Source organism: Homo sapiens, chromosome 1 (genome assembly GCF_000001405.40).
Source record: "Homo sapiens chromosome 1, GRCh38.p14 Primary Assembly".
Classification (NCBI taxonomy): Eukaryota; Metazoa; Chordata; class Mammalia; order Primates; family Hominidae; genus Homo; species Homo sapiens.
In genome coordinates, this window is record NC_000001.11 from 232,062,542 (window position 1) to 232,085,447 (window position 22,906).

Here is a 22,906-nt window from a genome sequence, read left to right on the forward strand (position 1 = left end):
CCAGGCTGGAGTGCAGTGATATAATCATTGCTCACGGTAGCCTCAAACTCATGAGCTCAAGCAATCTTCCTGCCTCAGCTACCCCAGTAGCTGGGACTACAGACATGCCACCACGCCTGCCTAATTTTTTTTTTTTTTTGGTAGAGACAGGGTCTTGCTATGTTGCCCAGGCTTATCTCAAACTCCTGGCCTCAAGTGTTCTTCATTGCTCAACCTCCCAAAGAGTTGGGATTATAGGCATGAGCCACTGTGTTTGGCCTTTTGTGTTCTCTTATGAGACGGTCAGCCAGCTGTGGTCACAAGAGGAGACACTGGAGAGGCTCAGGAAAACAAGTTCATGATACTCACAGTTCTAGAGACAGGAAGTACACCATGCCAGGCAGAGCCACATGGGGAAGACGCTAGGATGGTCAGGAGGAAGAAGGCAAGACTGAGGGGAAAGTTTAGGTCAGAGCCTTCGCTGGAGTTTTCGGGGAGAGAAAAGGCAAGGTGGGTGAACAGTTTAGGATTGGCTGCTTTGCAGAATTTCACAGGGCCCTAAGCTATAGGGGTGGCACACTAGGGAGTTGCCTGGCACCTGGCCCTGGGATGATTAGGGCAGAGGAATATTGCCTCCTGCGGAGCAAGGGCAGGATAGAGGAGGTGTGTTGGTTAGTTTGCATATCAGAGGCTTGTTTGGAGCTGGATTAGGCTCTGACAATTAGCTGGCTCAGGGAGGGCTGTCTCTCTCCTCCATAAAGTTTTTCAACATGTCAAGACATAATATACAGAAAAATTAAAACAATATGCAATACAGACTTAGAGCCAGATATAACTTGATTCAAAATGAATAAGTTAAATAATGTACTGACTTGGAGCAATCGGCACTTCCTGAGAATCAGGCTTCTCTGTGGCCCATGAGCTTCAGCAGAGACTCCTGTGGGGTATTTGTGTAGGTAGAGAAGATCTCTCCACCCCAACACGGTCTTCCTACTTGAAAACATAACACACTCCCTACTTATATTTATTTTTCATGAATGATTTTATAATTCTATTTAAATCTTTTTTTTTCGAGACAGAGTCTCATATTGTTACCGGGGCTGGAGTGCAATGGCACGATCTCGGCTCACTGCAACCTCAGCCCCTGGGTTCAAGTGATTCTCCTGCCTCAGCCTCCCGAGTAGCTGGGATTACAGGTGCATGCCAACACGCCAGGCTAATTTTTGTGTTTTTAGTAGAGAAGGGGTTTCACCGTGTTGGCCAGACTGGTTTCGAGCTCCTGACCTCGTGAGTAATACCTGTTCATTGTACCTAAAATTCAGAGAAAAAGTTGGGGGATATTTTTAAAAACACACTTGAATTCCTGTTATGCAGGAATACTTAATATTTTGGACACAGAGTTATGAAGAAGCTATGGAAAAACTCAACTGTTTCTCTCCCCATCCCCCATGTATGTGTGTATGTATACACTCATGTATGTGAACATAAGTACATAATTATATTTATATGTACATCTATATATCTACACCTATTTAGGTTCAGTTTGCTAAAGCCGAAATCCTCCCTGCTTTAAATCACAGAGGAAGGCCTCCTTCCTCAGTTCACTGGTACTTTCCTAGCTCTACCTCTTTCTTACTGGTTTCTATGTTCTTTCTTACTGATTACTTCTTTTTTCACCCTGGGCTACTGCTTCCCCTGCCTCTCCTATCTGTATATACTTCAAATGAGGAGGGTAAAAGGTAGCATGTAATTACAAAAGGACTTCAAATATTGCACAGTCAAGTTCTAAACAATCTTTAGAACACCGACTGACTCTGCCAGTCCCAGGACACGTTAGCAGAAAACGGGACCCCTTGGTGCTGTGGTGCTGTGGGCATGGTGTCTGCCAGCCAGTGGCTCCATTTGGGCACCTTTGTCATCTTTGCTGATTGTCTCGGCTTATGCAATTTTTTTATTTTTATTTTTTATTTTTTTGCATTTTGCCGTTTCTCATTTATAAAGTGAGTAAAAAATGGGTACATGAAAGTGATGGTTCTAGTGGTAAGAAGACTAATTAAGTTGATACAAAGAGCATTGAAGTGTGAAGTCTTCAGCCTCAGCGAGATGTTTATTAGACTTAAGCCGGTCAATCGCATGCCAGTGATAAGGAAAGAAACAAAAGTCATTGTGTTAGCTACTATAGATATAGAGTGTGTGGTGTAAATAGTGACTTAAAATATTTTTTTAGCTCTCTGGGAATGAAACATTTATTGGCATCTGCTATATATACCAGGCTAAAAAAGTTATTTCCAATTCTGAAATAATTGACAATTCAAAGTTAAATTTTTATGAAGTTATTTTTCTGACTGTAGCCAGAGTTTTTTGATTCTTGAATTCCAAATTATCTTCCTCTTCTTCAACTGTCAATTTTTCCTCCACCACAATAGTGTTCCCTCCTTAGTGATTTTTTTCATACCAGATGATTAATTTATGTTTCAGAAAAATAGAGACACTGAACAATGCTAGGCCTTCGGAACTTTTAACCGTTGACAGAATTTTCACAGAAATGCAGAGAAATGGGGAATATTATGAAGAAATGACATCTAATGCTATTCCACTAAACTCATTTTGATGGTTTCCAACCAACTACTTTGGCTAAATCTTCAATTCCAAGTAGATAGATTTCAGTTATGTTTTTTATTTATCTATATTCAAAATCTATAATGTTAAGTATTATGAAGCAATAGCTAAAGGGAAAAAATCCAAATAAAAAAGTTAAAAAGGGGAAGTTTTGGATAATGGATAGTGTACAAAACAAATCTGTGAGTTAATACCACCTATCTAAATAATTTTGTAATTTTTCATCATTATTTGAAAGATGACAATATGAGGGTTCAGAATCTCTGTTATCCTCAAGAATGATGAAAAGCATACTTTAAAAATTTGATAGCCTGCAGTAAAGTTCTTAATGGTGAAATAATGAGGGCTTTTCTCTTAAGATCAGGAAAGAGACAAGAATGTCCACTATCTCCCCTTTTATCCGCTATTATAGTAGAATCTAGCCAATATAATAAGACAAAAGAATGAAATAAAGGTATAACATAGGAAATAAATAAATAAAACTGTTTTATGCACAAAAAACAATGATTCTGCACATAGAAAATAAAAAAAAATCTATGCAGGTAAAACATATAATTAATAGGTGAATTTTACAATATTACTGAATACACAAATATCCAAAAATCACTTGTATTTCTATACACCAGCAACTTAAAGAAATTAAAAGTTAAATGGTAGAATTCAAAATAGCACAAAATAATCAAATATCTTTAAAATACATGTATTTAAAGACATGCAAGAACTTTATACTGAAAATAAAACTACCTTTATGGAGAGGAATCAAAGAAGACATAAATAAGCAGGAAGCAGAAGGATATACGATTTTCATAAAGTGGAAGGCTCGGTATTTTAAGATGTAATTTCTCCTACAATTTACCTATAGATTCAATGCCATCATAGTAAAAAACCTAGAAGGTGGGTTTTTTGGGGGTAAAAGTTTAAAAGTGATTCTCACTTTCTCTCTGGCTCACTTTCTCTCTCACACACACACATATGTATATAGCAATTTAAAAAGCTAAGAAGATAAAAAATAATATTGAGGTAGAATTTACACTATCAGATATCAAAATTTATTATAATGGTACAGTAATTAAAATAGCATAGTGTTGGGCAAAGACAGTAAGTAAGCAAAAAGAACAGAAAAAAAGCTGTACATATATGGTCACTTATTTACAACAAAGATGTTCCTGCAATGCAGGGAGGAAGAAAATTCTTTTCAATAAATGTGGCTGTGCTGAATGAATAACTGTATTTGAAATAACTCAACTTGAATCCTACCTCACACCATACAAAAAAAATTAAATTCCAGGTGGAATGTGGATCTAAATATGCAAAGTGTAAAGGACTGACAAATTGGACTTGTTAAAATTTAGAACATCTGTTAATAAAATGACAGTAATAAGAAAGTGAAATGAAGGCTGGGCGCAGTGGCTCATGCCTGTAATCTCAGCACTTTGGGAAGCCAGGGCGGGCAGATAACCTGACATCTGGAGTTTGAGACCAGCCTGGCCAACATGGTGAAACCCCATCTGTACTAAAAATACAAAAATTAGACAGATCTGGTGGCATGTGCCTGTAATCCCAGCTTCTCAGGAGGCTGAGTCATGACAATCACTTGAACCCAACAGATGGAGGTTGCATTGAGCTGAGATGATGCCACTGCACTCCAGCCTGTGTGATAGAGTGAGACTGCCCAAAAAGAAAAAAAAAAAGAAAGGAAGTGAAATGAGAAATCCACTGAAAAAAAGATATCTATAGTATATGTAAATGACAAAGAACTCACATTCGAAATATTTTTTAAAACTCCTCAAATCATTAAGAAAAAGGCAACTCAATTTAAAAATGGGCCAAAAACTTTAATGGCTACTTCACAAAATATGGTACCAAATAGCTCAACATCATAATTAATTGAAGAAATGGAATATAAAATCACAATATGATAGTATAATACCTCCCATTCCTCCATTTCTGAATGGCTAAAAGAGGTGGAGGGAGTACCAAGTATAGAATATAGAACAGTGGGGTCATATGCTGTTTGGTGTATCTACCTAGACACATCATAATATATGTTCCTTATAAACCAACAATTCTATCATAAGTGTATACCAATAGACATTTGTGCATATGTGTGCCAAAAGACATGTACAACGTTTTTGTAAGCATTACTTTAATAGATCAAAATGGCAAACAGCAGAATGAATGCTATACAGCCATGAAAATGAATTACTGCTGCATATAATAACATGAAAGAATTTTACATAGTGTTGATGGAACTAAGTAAGGCACAAAATAATATATACCATGTGATTGCCTGTATATAAAGCTTGAAAATAGTCAAACCTAATATGTGGTATTAGAAGTTGGAATATAGGTTAGGTTACTTTTGAGTAGGGATTAATGACTGCATACCTAAGATTTGTGCATCTTTCTGTATAAATATTATACTTCAATTGAAATTAGAATCTTACTTAAAAATAAACTTTTCCACAGCAAAATGTGCCTCTTGTTTTCACCTTTGAATTTATCAGCAATCAGTAGAAGTTCATCATAACCTAACAAATCAAAATTTCTCCATCTGTCTCATTTCCTTAAAGATTGTTTTCAATTCCTTCTGTGTCCAGAATGTTAATCTCAAATATTTCACTTATATTTGATACTATTTTCTTCACTTTTAAATATTTATATCAAAACTTTATACTAGCGCATAGTGTAGTGAGACGTTAAATTGATTTTTCCCAAATTACTTGCTTATCTCAATGTAATTAATTAACTAATATTCTCTTTCCTTTTAAAAGTTCTATACAAAAAAAGTATGTATTCTGCCCTAATAAGTTATTTGTCTATTCTTGCACCAGTACACTTTAATTATAACTGCATTGTAATGTATTTGTAACTTACTGTCTTCTGTCAATTTTTAAAATTTTCTCCCAGAATTGTCTTACTTTAGAATTATTTGAATTTTATTAATTTAAAAATAGAAGAACATTCTATTGATAACCATGTCATCTATTTGGAGAGAATTATTATTATTATAATTCTGAGAATATCATGCCCTTAAGTGTTTTCAGCATTTGTTGATACAATCTCTGTTCTCTCGGTGTAACAGAAAAGGAATCAGGAAATCTAAATTTGAGTTCTTGTTCTTCAACAAAGTAATTGTGTGACTTTGAGACAGTTACCAAAAGGATATCATTTTTTTTATAAATTGATTTTCATAGCTTCTACTTATTTTTTTCTTGGAGAGAATTTGCTTTTGTTGATTTATAATATTTATTTATAAAATAAAAATATTACTTACATCTATTAAGTGCTTGCAAATTTTCTTAATTTGTAAAATACCTAATAATTTGGTAAATCATTATTTTGATGTTTGTTTTTTGTGGAAGGAGAGTTTGAATTTCCTTTTTTGTAGCTTGATTATTTTATTGGGGTTTAATTTACATACAGTGACATGTACAAGTCTCAGTGATTTCTGACAAACCACATACTCCCTGTATCCACCCCCTATCAAGATACAGAACATTCCTTTTTTAAAAAAAGTTCATTTTTATTTCAACAGTTTTTGGGGTACAGGTGGTTTTTGGTTACATGGATAAGTTTTTTAGTGGTGATTTCTGAGATTTTAGTGTATCTGTTACCCAAGCTCTGTGCACTCTGCCCAATATGTAGTCTTTTATCTCTCAGCCCCCTCACAAGCTTCCCCCTTGAGTCCTCAAAGTCCATTATATTATTCTTATGCCTTTGCAGCCTCATATCTTAACTCCCACTTATAACAGAGAACATTATCATACACACTGTATGTATGAGAACACACAATATTTAGTTTTCCATCCCTGAGTTACTTTATTTAGAATAATGGCCTCCAACTCTATCCAAGTTGCTGCAAAAGACATTATTTCATTTCTTTTTATGGCTGAGTAGCATTCCATAATATATATACTACATCTTCTTTATCCACTCGTTGGTTGATGAGGACTTAAGTTGGTTCCATATCTTTGCAACTGGGAACTGTGCACATGTGTATTTTTCATATAATGACTTCTTTTCCTTTGGGTAGATACCCAGTAGTGGGATTGCTGGATCGAATGGTAGTTCTACTTTTAGTTGTTTAAGAAGTCTCCATACTGTTTTCCATAGTGGTTGTACTAGTTTACATTCCCACCGGAAGTATAAAAGTGTTCCCTTTTCATCACATCCACACCAACATCTATTGTTTTTTGATTTTTAAATTATGGCCTTTCTTGCAGGAGTAAGGTGGTGTTGCATTGTGGTTTTAATTTGCATTTCCCTGATAATTAGTGATGTTGAGCATCTTTTCATAGAAAAATAGAATTGTCTATTCATGTCATTTGCCCACTTTTTGATGGTATTCTTTTTATTATATTATATTTTTATTTTTTTTGAGACTGGGTCTCTATCACCCAGGCTGGAGTGTAGTGGCATGATCTCGGCTCACTGCCACCTCTGCCTACCAGATTCAAGTGATTCTCCCACCTCAGCCTCCTGAGTAGCTAGGACTACAGGCATGAACCACCACACCCAGATAATTTTTGTATTTTTAGTAGAGATGGGGTTTCACTAGGTTGGCCAGGCTGGTCTCAAACCCCAGACTTCAAGTGATCTGCCTGCTTTGGCCTCCCAAAGTGCTGGGGTTACAGGCATGAGCCACCGACCACCGCACCCGGCGGGGATTGTTTGTTTGTTTGTTTTTTCTTGCTGATTTGTTTGAGTTCTTTGTAGATTCTGGATATTAGTCCTTTGTCAGATGCGTCATTTACAAATATTTTCTCCCACCTGTCTGTTTACTCTGCTGATTATTTCATTTCCTAGGCAGAACCTTTTTAGTTTAATTAAGTCCCATTTATTTATTTATTTTTGTTTTTGTTGCATTTGCTTTTGAGTTCTTGGTCATGAACTCTTAGCCTAAGTCAATGTCTAGAAGAGTTTTTCTGATGTTATTTTCTAGAATTTTTATGGTTTCAGGTTTTAGATTCAAGTCTTTGATCTATCTTGCGTTGATTTTTGTATAAGGTGAGAGATGAGAATCCAGTTTCATTCTTCTACATGTGGCTTGCTAGTTTTCTCAGCACCGTTTATTGAGTAGGATGTCCTTTCCCCAATTTATGTTTTTATATGCATTGTCAAAGATCAGTTGGTTGTAAGTATTTGGCTTTATTCTTGGATTCTCTATTTTGTTCCTTTGCTCTACTTGCCTATTTTTATGCTAGTACCATGCTGTTTTGGTAAGTATAACCTTATAGTATACTTTGAAGTCTAGTAATATGATGCCTCCAGATCTGTTCATTTTGCTTAGTATTGCTTTGGCTATGCAGGATTTTTTTTTTGGTTCTAGATGAATTTTAGGATTATTTTTTCTAGTTCTGTGAAGAATGATGATTTTTGATGGGAATTGCATTGAATCTGTAGATTGCATTGGGCAGTATGGTCATTTTCACAATATTGATTCTACCCATGAGCATGGAATGTGTTTACATTTGTTTGCGTACTCTATGTTTTCTTTCAGCAGTGTTTTGTAGTTTTTCTTGTAGAGATCTTTCACCTCTTTTGTTAAGCTATATTCCTAAGTGTTTTTTGTTTTATTTTGTTTTTGCAGCTGTTATAAAAGAGATTGAGTGCCTCATTTGATTTTCAACTTGGTCATTGTTGGTGTATAGCAGTGCTACTGACTTGTGTACCTTGATTTTGTATCCTGAGACCTTACTGAATTAGTTTATCAGATCTAAGAGCTTTTTGGATAAATCTTTAGGGTTTTCTGGGTATATGGTCATATAATCACCAAAAAGCAACAGTTTGACTTCCTCTTTTCTAATTGAGATGCCGTTTCTTTCTTTCTCTTGTCTGGTCTGATTGCTCTGGCTAGGACTTCCAGTACTATGTTGAATAGAAGTGGTGAAAATGGGCATCCTTGTCTTGTTTCAGTTCTCAGGGGAATGCATTCAACTTTTCCCCTTGTTGGGTGTGGGTTTGTCATATATGGCTTTTATTACTTTGAGGTAAGTCCCTTATATGCCTATTTCACTGAGGGTTTTTATCATAAAGGGATGCTGGATTTTATAAAATGCTTTTTCTGTCTATTGAGATGATTCTATGGGTTTTTGTTAATTAATTCTGTTTATGTGATGTATCACATTTGTTGACTTGCATAACCATCCCTGCATCCCTGGTATGAAACCCACTTGATCATGATATGTTATCTTTTTTATATAATATTGGATTCGGTTAACTAGTATTTTGTTGAGGATTTTTTTTTATTAATGCTCATCAGGAATATTGGCCTGCAGTTTTCTGTTTTGTTATGTTATTTCCTAGTTTTGGTATTAGGGTGATACTAGCGTCATAGAATGATTTAGGAAGGATTCCTTCTTTATCTTTTGGAATAGTTTCAGTAGGATTAGTATCAATTCTCCTTTGAATGTCTGATAGAATTCAGCTGTCAATCCATCTGGTCCTGGACTGTTTTGTTGGCAATTTTTTTTTTTTTTGAGACGGAGTCTCGCTGTCGCCCAAGCTGGAGTGCAGTGGCGCCATCTTGGCTCACTGCAAGCTCTGCCTCCCGGGTACACGCCATTCTCTGCCTCAGCCTCCCTAGTAGCTGGGACTACAGGCACCCACCACCTCGCCCGGCTAATTTTTTGTATTTTTAGTAGAGACGGGGTTTCACTGTGTTAGCCAGGAGGCAATTTTTTTTTATTACTGATTCAATCTCACTGCTTGTTATTGATCTGTTCACGGTTTCTATTTCTTCCCAGTTTAACCTAGAGGGTTGTTATATTTACAGGAATTTATCCATCTCCTCTAGATTTTCTAGTTTGTGCATGTAAGGGTGTTCATAGTAGCCTTAAATGCTGTTTTGTATTTCTTTTTTTTTTTTTGAAATGGAGTTTTGCTGTTGTTGCCCAGGCTGGAGTGCAATGGTGCCATCTCGGCTCACTGCAACCTCTGCCTCGCGGGTTCAAGCCATTTTCTTGCCTCAGCCTCCCAAGTAGCTGGGATTACAGGCACGTGCTACAACGCCAGGCTAATTTTTTGTATTTTTAGTAGAGACAGGGTTTCTCCATGTTGGTCAGGCTGGTCTCGAACTCCTGACCTCAGGTGATCCCCCCCGCCTTGGCCTCCCTGAGTGCTGGGATTACAGGCATAAGCCACCACGCCCAGCCACTCTTTTGTATTTCTATGGTATTGGTTGTAGTATATCCAGTTTCATTTCTAATTGAGTTTATTCAGATCTCTCTTGTTGGTTAATCTCACTAATGGTCTATCAATTTTGTTTATCTTTTCAAAGAACCTGCTTTTTGTTTCATTTATTTTTTGTATTTTTATTTTTTTGGTTTCCATTTCATTTAGTTTTGCTCTGATCTTTGTTATTTCTTTTCTTCTACTGGGTTTGGGTTTAGATCTTGTTTCTCTAGTTCCTTGAGGTGTGACATTAAGGTGTTTATTTGTGCTCTTTCTGACTTTTTGATGTAGGCATTTAATGCTATGAACTTTCCTCTTAGTATTGCTTTTGCTGTATCCCAGAGGTTTATAGGTTGTGTCACTATTATTGTTCAGTTCAAAGAATTTTTAAATTCCCATTTTGATTTCATCGTTGACCCAAAGATCACTCAAGAGCAGATTATTTAATTTCCATGTATTTGTAGAGTTTTGAGGATTTTTTGAAGTTATTTCCAGTTTTATTTCACTGTGGTCTGAGAAGATATTTGATATTATTTTGATTTTCTTAGATTTATGGAGATTTGTGGCCTATCATATGGTCTATCTTGGAGAATGTTCCATGTGCTGATGAGAAGAATGTATATTCTGCAGTTGTTGGGATGAATGTTCTGTAAATATATATGTCTGTTTATTCTAGGGTATAGTTTATATCCATTGTTTCTTTGTTGACTTTCTGTCTTGATGGCCTGTCTAGTGCTGTCAGTAGAGTATTTAAGTCCCCCACTATTATTGTGTTGCTGTCTATCTCATTTCTTAGGTCTAGGAGTAGTTGTTTTCTAAATCTGGAACCTCCAGTGTTAGGTTTTCTCTGTTTTTTTCTCTTTCTAACTAAGAGATTACTAATCACTGCATTAACAATTCCATAGAAATAACTTTGGTTTTGTTACTTTTCTCTATTGATCTTGTGTTTTCTATTTCACTGATTTCTTTTTAATTTCCATTTTTCCACTTACATTGATTTAATTTGCTCTTCTTCTTGCCTCTAAAAATGGATTTTAAATTTACAGTTTAAACCTATGGTTTAAATTCCTTCGTCTTTTCTAATATAAGCATTTAGAGCTATAAATTTCCCTCCAACTGCAATCTATAAATTTTGATATGTGCTATTAAGTTCAAAATATTCTCTAATTACCTTTTAATTTTTTCTTTGATCTATTTGTTGTTTAGAAGTGTGTTGCTTAATTTCCAAATACTTGGGGATTTTTCTGGAGTTCTTTTTGTTACTGATTTCTTATTTAATTTTTTGATTGAGGAAGATTAATTTCAATCTTTTTAGGCATGGTCAGACTTATTTTATGGCTCAGCATATGGTCAATCTTCATGTATGTTTCACATACGCTTGGAAAGACTGTTTTCTACAGTTGCTGGATGCAGTGTTTCTTAATGTCAGTTACATAAGGGTGGTTGTTCAGGAACATTCTGGATGGTGGTGAAAGTTCTGGCTTCCCATATGGCCTCTTCTAACATTACTCCAGGCAAGGATGGTGAGGGGGCACTTCGTTACTGCAGACTGAGGGTTCAGAATCCCTATAATATTCCCCAGTGATAGCAGGTATGGGGGTGTTTGATTACTGCTGATAGAAATGAAATTACTGGCTCCTCACTCAGTCCATTCTGAGAGCACTCCAGCAGGGGTAGGAGGCTGCGGTAGTGCAATTTTTGTCTAAAGGTTTTCTGTTTTCCTATGTTCCCCCTTTCTTGGTCCTTTGGCTAGACACAGCAGATTTTTCTTGAGGCTCCTTTTTGTCTTTTCTAGTTTTATGTTTTCACATTACCTACTTCTTCAGCACCTGATATAGGATATATAAGTGGGGGAGGAAACCAAGGACTCACTACCATGTCATTATTTAGGGTCTGAGATCTCATGCTGGTCTGTTTTCTTCTCTCCACCTTTCAAAGTCTTCTCAGATTTGTTTTATATGTGATATTCAGAGTTTTTGTTATTAGTGGTGGTGGGTTTTTTGCTTGGTTTGGGTTCTACAAGAACTTGGTGGGAAGAGTAGGAAGAAGTGCATTTACTACATCTTGGTCTGGTGACCTTCATTTTTGAAGGATGTTTTTGCTGGATTTCTAGATTGAAAGTTTTTTTCCTTACAGCAATTTAAATATCATTGCATCATCTTTTGACTTGCCCTGTTTCTGATAAGTTAGCAACCATTCTTATTGTGTCTCAAGTGAGTTTAATGCATCTTTTTTCTTCTAGTTGCTTTTAATATTTAATTTTCGTGATTGGTTTTTAGCAGTTTGAGAATGATGTGCTTTGGTGTGGTTTTCAATGTTTATCTTGCTTGAGTTTTGTTGATATTCTTGAATCTTTCATCTAAATTAGGAAATATTTGATCATAACATCTTCAAATATTTTTCTCTCCCATGTCTATTTCTTCTTTTAGTACTCCAATTGCATATATTTTAATCTTATTACTATTTTCCTACAGTTTAATTAGTCCCTCTTCATTGTTTAACCAGCATTTAAAAAAATAAATGCTTTAGTTTTGCTTTAGTTTGGATAGTTTTCCTAACCCTGAGTTCAAATTCACTGTTCCTTCCTTCTGCTGTGTTTAATCTGCCATTAAGCCCATGAAATAAATTTTTATTTTAAATGTTGTATTATTCAGTTCTAAAATTTCTATTTTTATGGGTCTCATTTCTCTCCTGAGTCCTATTTATTCTCTTATTATTTTTACATTTTCATTTAAATCCTTTATTGTATTTGTAATAATCCTTTATCATAATTATAATATTATCTATTAATTTAAACACTTCTGTCATTTCAGGATAATTTTTTATTAACACATGTTTTTCTTCTTATTTTTCACCTTTAATTGTTTCTGTACATATCTGACAGTGTTTTTGTAATATGCTGGGCATTATAAATGCTCTGTTGTTTGGTGTCTAGATTTTTTTTGTTATCCTTAATAAGTGTCAACTTTCGTTCTGGCAGACTGTTAATTTACTCTTGGAGATAAATTTTATCCTATTAAGGAGTGCTTTTAAAACTTTGTTAGGGTGGGTCTAAAACAACTTTTTCCCTAGAGCTAGATTAATTTACTCCTATGATATGATTTTGCTGGAGTCTCTATTGAATGCTCACGGCATTCAAGGAGGTATCTACACTCTGGCTGGAGGTCTTGCATGTCTCCCTGCTTGTGCAAAATCTAGCAGATGTTCATTTCACAGCTTCCAAGTAGATATTCTCTCTTTAGTGGTTCGATCTCAAAAGGTTGTTACTTGCTAGAACTAGTAGTTTCTTGCTCTGTACATGAATACTTAGTAGTTAACCAAAGCTTTAGGAATATTCCTGTACAGTTTTCTAGAGTTCAGTCTTCCCACAGCTCTCTTCTCTCTTTTACCCTCCTCTGCAAATTCTAGCTGCTTCAGTACTCCAGATTCCAATACCTGTCTTCTCAGTTCAGTGAAATCACTATGCTCTGTTCAAGCTTTGTTTCCTATTCACTACCATCCAGAAAGTGAGATTGGAGTGATTGTGAGGCTCACCTCAATTGGCCCCTTCTATTAGGAATCACAGACCTATGCTGCCTGTTGTCTAAGGTCTAAAAATGGCATTTCATATTTTTTCAGTTGTAAATTTATAAATGACGGGGGGATAAACTCATATTAGTTACTCATGGCTTACAGTACAATCATTTTAGAAAAGTTTTGTAAGGTCTATCAAAAGCTACAAAAATAAGCGTCTCTTATTGTCCCCCAAATATTATTATTTTTAGTTTTCATTCTTTTACAGACAGGGTGTCCCTTGTTGCCCAGGCTGGAGTGTAGTGGCATGATCACATCTCACTGCAACCTTGAAGTCTTGGGCTCAAGTGATCCTCCTGCCTCAGCCTCCCAAGTAATTAGGACTACAGGCACCCACCTCCAAGCCTGGATAATTTTTAAATTTTCTGTAGACGTTGGCTCAGGGGGAAACGTTTTGCTATGTTGCCCAGGCTTGTCTTGAACTCCTGATCTCAAGCTATCCTTCTGCCTAGGGCTCCCAAAGTGCTGGGATTGCAGGCAAGAGCCACTGTGCCCAGCCAAAAAAATATTATTTCTAAGAATGCATCTTACTCAAATTATCTAATGTAGAAAAAATATGCATGTACCAAGTTATTATAGTAGCAAATGAAAGTTAGGAGTCACCCAAATAATTGAAATATAGGCGTAGTTATGTAAATTACAGTTAACTCACTTAATGAAATAATACATTGGTCATTACGTGTTATATTTCACAAACTTTGATACAACATGAGAAATGTTCATATAGTATTAAATAAAAAGAGACATATTAAATTATTTGTACACTCTGATTATAGTTATAAAAAATCTACATAGGAAAAATATCAGCCAGCTCCAGGAAGAAAAGTGGCTCTAGAGAAAGAAGGCTGAATAATCAATGAAGCAGATCAACATTAATACACCAAATCAAATTTTCTGTAGCATAAGTTAAACAGGTGCGGTGGCTCAAGCCTGTAATCCCAGCACTTTGGGAGGCCAAGATGAGTGGATCACCTGAGGTCAGGAGTTTGAGACCAGCCTGATCAATATGGTGAAACCCCGTCTCTACTAAAAAATACAAAATTATCCAGGTGTGATGGTGCATGCCTGTAATCCAGCTACTTGAGAGGCTGAAGCAGGAGAATCCCTTGAACCCGGGAGGTGGAGGTTACAGTGAACCGAGATTGCACCACTGCATTCCAGCCTGGGTGACAGAGCAAGACTCCATCTCAAAAAAAAAAAAGAAAGGAAAAAAGCAAGGAAGCAAGCAAAATATCCCAAGATGTATACAAACTAAAGTAACTTTGTTAAGGTTGGTAGGATTTGGAAGACTTTTTTTTCCATCTAATTTCAAGTATCTTCTTTTTTTTTTTTTTTTTTTTGAGACTGAGTTTTGCTCTTGTTGCCCAGGCTGGAGTACAATGGTGCAATCTTGGCTCACTGCAACATTTGCCTCCTGGATTCAAGCGATTCTACTGCCTGAGCCTCCCAAGTAGCTGGGATTACAGGTGCCCACCACCAAGCCTGGCTGATTTTTTGTATTTTTAGTAAAGATGGGGTTTCACCATGTTGGCCAGGCTGGTCTCGAACTCCTGACCTCAGATGATCCACCCGCCTCGGCCTCCCAAAGTATCTTATTAGATGAACACTTTTTTTTTTCCTATAAATTTTAAGTTACAGAAGATGAGATGGAGTTTAGTGAGCATCTGGTTCAACACTGAAAAGAATGTTGAACAGCCAGGGCTCTGAATTTTCAGAAACATTGCCAGGTAAGTAAACAGAAAGGAAGAATTTTAAAATTTCATTAATAAGGACAAATCATGTGGAGTTTTGAGGATGGCTTATTAAGGCTTAGGAGCCTTTGAGAATGATAATTGCTGGATGGAGTTCAGGTGTACTGTTGAATGTGAGCTCATCAGGGACCAGTCAAACTTATCTACAGAGCTATTTTGTAGTCGTTGTGTTTATTTATTTGTTTTCTTCTTACTCAGGATTTGAAATGGGAGGATAGGGCAAAGGGAAGCATATCAAAAGAAAGTTCTAAAGGCTTAACCAATAGGTTTAGAGAAGAGTTAAAACCAGCCAGAGACTAAGAGAAAAATGGGGTGTGGAAGCCTCAATGTAAGGTGGTGCTGGAGGGAATCCATTTGTGGGATCACGTGATCACTGAAGTGTTAGCAAGTTAGTAACACAGAAGTGTTAGCAATTCAGTAACACCTGATTTAAACAAGAACATTCATCTCCCCATACTCACATACTGCTGTGTGATTTACTTTCCATGTAAATACACATGGTTCTGCACTACCAGTTGCTCTGGATTTTTAGTATAATTTTGGAATTATTTACTCATTTCATACTATTGTTTCTAATAATGGCTCAGGAGAATATTGCTTATTAACAAAGTGTGTATGATGATGGGTAATATTACAAAGCTCCAGGAAGAAAAGTGGCTCTAGAGAAAGAAGGCTGAACAATCAATGAAGCAGATGAACATTAATACACCAAATCAAATTTTCTCTAGCATAAGTTAAACAGCTTTGCCATTTAGAGAGCAATGCAGACTGTGGAGGAAAGTTTGTAAGTTGGTATTAGTTGTCGATCTAAGTAAATTTTGCCAAAATGCAGGAACCCACTGTAACTCTGATGAGGTGGCTCATTGCCTAACTATTAAGATTAGCTCAACTCAGAATTATGGCCAAGATCCAATATTCAACATTCTTAAAGAAAAGAATTTTCAACCCAGAATTTCATATCCAGCCAAACTAAGCTTCATAAGTGAAGAAGAAATAAAATCCTTTACAGACAAGCAAATGTTCAGAGGTTTTGTCACCACCAGGCCTGCCTTACAAGAGCTCCTGAAGGAAGTACTAAACATGGAAAGTAACAACTGGTACCAGCCACTGCAAAAACATGCCAAATTGTAAAGACCATCAATGCTAGGAAGAAACTGCATCAACTAACGAGCAAAATAACCAGCTAACATCATAATGACAGAATCAAATTGACACATAACAATATTAACCTTAAATGTAAATGGGCTAAGTGCTCCAATTAAAAGACACAGACTGGCAAATTGGATAAAGAGTCAAGATCCATCAGTGTGCTGTATTCAGGAAACCCATCTCATGGGCAGAGACACACATAGGCTCAAAATAAAGGGATAGAGGAAGATCTACCAAGCAAATGGAAAACAAAAAAAAGCAGAGGTTGCAATCCTAGTCTCTGATAAAACAGACTTTAAACCAACAAAGATCAAAAGAGACAAAGAAAGCCATTACATAATGGTAAAGGGATCAATTCAACAAGAAGAGCTAACTATCCTGAATATATATGCACCCAATACAGAAGCACCCAGATTCATAAAGCAAGTCCTTAGAGACCTACAAAGAGACTTAGACTCCCACACAATAAAAATGGGAGACTTTAACACCCCACTGTCAACATTAGACAGATCAATGAGGCAGAAAGTTAAGAAGGATATCCAGGACTTGAACTCAGCTCTGCACCAAGCGGACCTAATAGACATCTATAGAACTCTCCACCCCAAATCAACAGAATATACATTCTTCTCAGCACCACATTGCACTTATTCCAAAATTGACCACATAGTTGGAAGTAAAGCACTCCTCAGCAATGTAAAAGAACAGAAATTATAACAAACTGTCTATCAGACCACACAGTGCAATCAAATTAGAGCTCAGGATTAAGAAACTCACTCAATTCTGCTGAAATACATGGACACTGAGCAACCTGCTCCTGAATGACTACTGGGTACATAACGAAATGAAGGCAGAAATAAAGATGTTCTTTGAAACCAATGACAACAAAGACACAACATACCAGAATCTCTGGTACATATTTAAAGCAGTGTGTAGAGGGAAATTTATAGCACTAAATGCCCACAAGAGAAAACAGGAAAGATCTAAAATCGACACCCTAACATCACAATTAAAAGAACTAGAGAAGCAAGAGCAAACACATTCAAAAGCTAGCAGAAGGCAAGAAATAACTAAGATCAGAGCAGAACTGAAGGAAATCTTCAAAAAAATCAATGAATCCAGGAGCTGGTTTTTTGAAAAGATCAATAAAACTGATAGACTGCTAGCAAGACTAATAAAGAAGAAGAGAGAAGAATCAAATAGACACAATAAAAAATGATAATGGGGATATCACCACCGATCCCACAGAAATACAGACTACCATCAGAGAATACTATAAACACCTCTACACAAATAGACTAGAAAATCTGGAAGAAATGGATAAATTCCTGGACACATACACCTTCCGAAGACTAAACCAGGAAGAAGTTGAATCCCTGAATAGACCAATAACAGGCTCTGAAATTGAGGCAATAATTAACAGCCTACCAACCAAAACAAGTCCAGGACCAGATGGATTCACAGCCGAATTTTACGAGGAGTACAAAGAGGAGCTGGTACTATTCCTTCTGAAACTATTCCAATCAATAGAAAAAGAGGGAATCCTCCCTAACTCATTTTATGAGGACAGCATCATCCTGATACCAAAGCCTGGCAGAGACACACACAAAAAAGAGAATTTTAGACCAATATCCCTGAGATGAACATCGATGTGAAAATCCTCAATAAAATACTGGCAAACCGAATCCAGCAGCACATCAAAAAGGTTATCCACCATGATCAAGTGGGCTTCATCCCTGGGATGCAAGGCTGGTTCAACATACACAAATCAATAAACCTAATCCATCATATAAACAGAACCAAAGACAAAAATCACATGATTATCTCAATAGATGCAGAAGAGGCCTTTGACAAAATTCAACAGCTCTTCATGCTACAAGTTCTCAATAAACTAGGTATTGATGGATCATATCTCAAAATAATAAGAGCTATTTATGACAAACCCACAGCCAATATCATACTGAATGGGCAAAAACTGGAAGCATTCCCTTTGAAAACTGGCACATGACAGGGATGCCCTCTCTCACCACTCCTATTCAACATAGTGTTGGAAGTTCTGGCCAGGGCAATCAGGCAGGAGAAAGAAATATAGGATATTCAATTAGGAAAAGAGGAAGTCAAATTGTCCCTGTTTGCAGATGATAGGACTGTATATTCAGAAAACCCCATTGTCTCAGCCCAAAATCTCCTTAAGCTGATACGCAACTTCACCAAAGTCTCAGGATACAAAATCAATGTGCAAAAATCACAAGCATTTCTATCCACACCAATAACAGACAAACAGACAGCCAAATCATGAGTGAACTCCCATTCACAATTGCTTCAAAAAGAATAAAATACCTAGGTATCCAACTTACAAGGGATGTGAAGGACCTCTTCAAGGAGAACTACAAACCACTGCTCAACGAAATAAAAGAGGACACAAACAAATGAAGAACATTCCATGCACATGGATAGGAAGAATCAATATCATGAAAATGGCCATATTGCCCAAGGTAATTTATAGATTCAGTGCCATCCCCATCAAGCTACCAATGACTCTCTTCACAGAACTGGAAAAAACTACTTTAAAGTTCATATGGAACCAAAAAAGAGCCCACATTGCCAAGACAATCCTAAGCCAAAAGAACAAAGCTGGAGGCATCATGCTACCTGACTTCAAACTATACTACAAGGCTACAGTAACCAAAACAGTGTGGTACTGGTACCAAAACAGAGACATAGACCAAAGGAACAGAACAGAGCCCTCAGAAATAATACCACACATCTACAACCATCTGATCTTGACAAACCTGACAAAAACAAGAAATGGGGAAAGGATTCCCTATTTAATAAATGATGCTGGGAAAACTGGCTAGCCATACGTAGAAAGCTAAAACTGAATCCCTTCCTTACACCTTATACAAAAATTAATTCAAGATGGATTAAAGACTTAAATGTTAGACCTAAAACCATAAAAACCCTAGAAGAAAACCTAGGCAATACCATTTAGGACATAGGCATGGGCAAGGACTTCATGACTAAAACACCAAAAGCAATGGCAACAAAAGCCAAAATTGACAAATGGGATCTAATTAAACTAAAGAGCTTCTGCACAGCAAAAGAAACTACCATCAGAGTGAACAGGCAATCTACAGAATGGGAGAAAAGTTTTAAAATCTACCCATCTGACAAAGGGCTAATATCCAGAATCCACAAAGAACTTAAACAAATTTACAAGAAAAAAATCAAACAACCCCGTCAAAAAGTGCGTGAAGGATAGGAACAGAAACTTCTCAAAAGAAGACATTTATGCAACCAACAGATACATGAAAAAATGCTCATCATCACTGGCCATCAGAGAAATGCAAATCAAAACCACAATGAGATACCATCTCACACCAATTAGAATGGCGATCATTAAAAAGTCAGGAAACAACAGGTGCTGGAGAGGATGTGGAGAAATAGGAACACTTTTACACTGTTGGTGGGACTGTAAACTAGTTCAACCATTGTGGAAGTCAGTGTGGCGATTCCTCAGGGATCTAGAACTGGAAATACCATTTGACCCAGCCATCCCATTACTGGGTATATACCCAAAGGACTATAAATCATGCTGCTATAAAGACACATGCACACGTATGTTTATTGCGGCATTATTCACAATAGCAAAGACTTGGAACCAACCCAAATGTCCAACAATGATAGACTGGATTAAGAAAATGTGGCACATATACACCATGGAATACTATGCAGCCATAAAAAATGATGAGTTCATGTCCTTTGTAGGGACATGGATGAAATTGGAAATCATCATTCTCAGTAAACTATCACAAGAACAAAAAACCAAACACCGCATATTCTCACTCATAGGTGGGAATTGAACAATGAGATCACATGGACACAGGGTGGGGAACATCACACACTGGGGCCTGTCCTGGGGTGGGGGTAGGGGGGAGGGATATCATTAGGTGATATACCTAATGTAAATGATGAGTTAATGGGTGCAGCACACCAACATGGCACATGTATACATACGTAACAAACCTGCACATTGTGTACATGTTCCCTAGTACTTAAAGTATAATAAAAAAAAATGTAAAAAGTCAATGGTTTAAGAAAAATAAAGCCCATGATGTTTAAACCATTCAATAAACCAGTTTTAAAAAATAAGAATCATGGCCAAGATTTTTCTGCAGATGTGCTGGGAGAATGGGGTGCCTTTAATCCACTGCTGGCCCTGTTATACTCCTCTCCGCTGTCTTTATTCCCCATTTTTGTAGGTTTAAAAAATATTTAATTGTGGTAGAAAACACATAACATAAAATTTATCAGCCAGGCATGGTGGCTCACCCCTGCAATCCCAGCACTTTGGGAGGCCGAGGTGGGTGGATCACCTGAGGTCGGGAGTTTGAGACCAGCCTGACCAACATGGAGAAACCCTGTCTCTACTAAAAATACAAAATTAGCCGGGCTTGGTGGTGCCTGCCTGTTATCCTAGCTACTCAGGAGGCTGAAGCAGGAGAATCGCTTGAACCTGGGAGGCGGAGGTTGCGGTGAACTGAGATCGCGCCATTGCACTCCAGCCTGGGCAAAGAGAGTGAAACTCCGTCTCAAACAAACAAACAAACAAACAAAAATTACAATTTTAACCATATTTAAGTGTACAAGTCAGAAATGTCAAGTACATTCATGTTGTTGTACAGTGAATATTGTAAAGTTCTTTCATCTTGGAAAGCTGAAACTCTATGCCAATTAAACAAGAACTCAATAGGATAATTTATTTATTAATTAATGCCTACTAAGTAACTCGTAAGTAAGTAACTTGTAAGTAAGATGGCTTGCATTTAAAATATTTTAAAGCACAGAATAAATCTTTGTTCTTAATATAAAAATTGGAAGATACAGATAAGCAAAAAGAAAAAATCTATAATTCAATAGTAAATTGAATTACATCTCATGTACATCTGTGTATTTGAAGACTTTTCCTAAGCAAAAGTGGAATCTTGCTTCCATACCTTTTTTTAAACAATATATCCTGAACATCTTTCCATGTCAACAGAGATCTCCATCATCACTATCTTTAAGGCATGTGCCATGGGAGGGATGTGTCATACTTTATATAAGCAACATCACTAAGCTGGCCCTCTTTTATCTGCTAGTGTGGACAGTTTGATGCTTTTTTTTTTTTTTTTTTTGAGACGGAGTCTCGCTCTGTCGCCCAGGCTGGAGTGCAGTGGCGCGATCTCGGCTCACTGCAAGCTCCGCCTCCCGGGTTCACGCCATTCTCCTGCCTCAGCCTCCCGCGTAGCTGGGACTTACAGGCGCCCGCCACCACTCCCGGCTAATTTTTTTGTATTTTTTTAGTAGAGACGGGGTTTCACCTTGTTAGCCAGGACGGTCTCTATCTCCTGACCTTATGATCCGCCCACTATGGCCTCCCAAAGTGCTGGGATTACAGGCGTGAGCCACCGTGCCTGGCAGTTTGATGCTTTTTAACAAATCTTCATAAGTAACAATAAAACCTTACCTGTAAAAACAAAGCTGTAATGCTGAGATTTCAGATACAATGCAAGTGGGGAGAGATAAAGATTTGGGTGAGAGGTTTTTCAGTGACTTCAACCCCTCTTGCACACTGTGTCTTTGAAAACCGGGTCTCCCACAGGTCTGGCTCTCTTTAGTAGGTCATTCTCAGAGCCTCAGGGACTGCCCACAAAGCAGGAACTCACCTGCTAGCAGGTTTGTTCACACTTACATTGCCCTTGGTCATTCTCTCTTCTTACACACTGCCTCCACTCTCACTGCCATACTTATTCTTCTACACTAAAAAAAACTGCTTTCTCTCAAATGTTACCACACAGGTTTAAAGATGGGGAGCCTCACACTGTCTGCAGAGGTTCTGGTTAGAAGGAGTGTCTTAAGAAATGCACAAAAAGGCCAGTCTCTTGCCTTCTTTGTCCCTAATCTCCCATAGAGAGGGAGTAACATAAACATCTCCTGATGCACTGAAAAGCTTTGTGCTGACTCATGAGATGTGAAGTACAAAGTAATGAAGGAACAAAAAGGCACAATCTACATATTACCAGTTTTTAAGAAACTAGGTTCTAGGCCTTCAGGGAGAGAGAAGAGAGAGAGGAGTGGAGAGGTGGGGAGAGGACATTCTCAGAAGCAAGGAAGTCTCTTTTGGAAGTGCAATTCTTTCTCGGGAGCTATCTACCCTGGAAGGGACGGACCAGCCCGCTGTCACTCCCAAGCTGGCCCAATGTGTTGTGAGCACAGGTTAAACTTCATAGCGACCTGTGATCTGTCCATGGTGCTACTGAGGAGAGCCTGAAATCAAGATGCTCTGATTATAGCCCTTGTCCGGCACCCTCACCTATAAAATGGGTATCTCAACACCTCCACTTGCAGAGCTGTTAAACGGATACAACCATGATAACAATGAATGTTAACTGAGAGTCACAGTGTGCCTGTGTACATACATACCCGGCTATGTATTTCCCTTATATGACCTCATTAGAACTCACTGCAGCCCTATGTGCAGTATTCAAGGCCTTAAACAAAAGAGAAAACCAAGCCGAGAGAGGCTCTCTGACTTACTTCAAGTCACACAGTAGGTAAGAGAGGCAACTGGGATTTTGTCCCAGGCTGCTTGACTCCCAAGTCCTTGTGCCTGACCATCT

The 22,906-nt window shown here is 37.4% G+C and overlaps 1 long non-coding RNA gene across 1 annotated transcript in view, besides 1 other annotated feature; it reads left to right on the forward strand.

Annotated features, from left to right (window-relative positions):
• Positions 1-22,906, forward strand: part of LOC105373171 (uncharacterized) — a 33,098-nt gene that overhangs the window by 3,714 nt on the left and 6,478 nt on the right. The window lies entirely within an intron of this gene.
• Positions 22,389-22,589: a silencer, noted in NCBI's record as "peak768 fragment used in MPRA reporter construct". NCBI's record gives its function as "represses an SCP1 promoter by STARR-seq MPRAs in K562 erythroleukemia cells {active_cell/tissue: K562}" and the evidence as "EXISTENCE:reporter gene assay evidence [ECO:0000049][PMID:32103011]".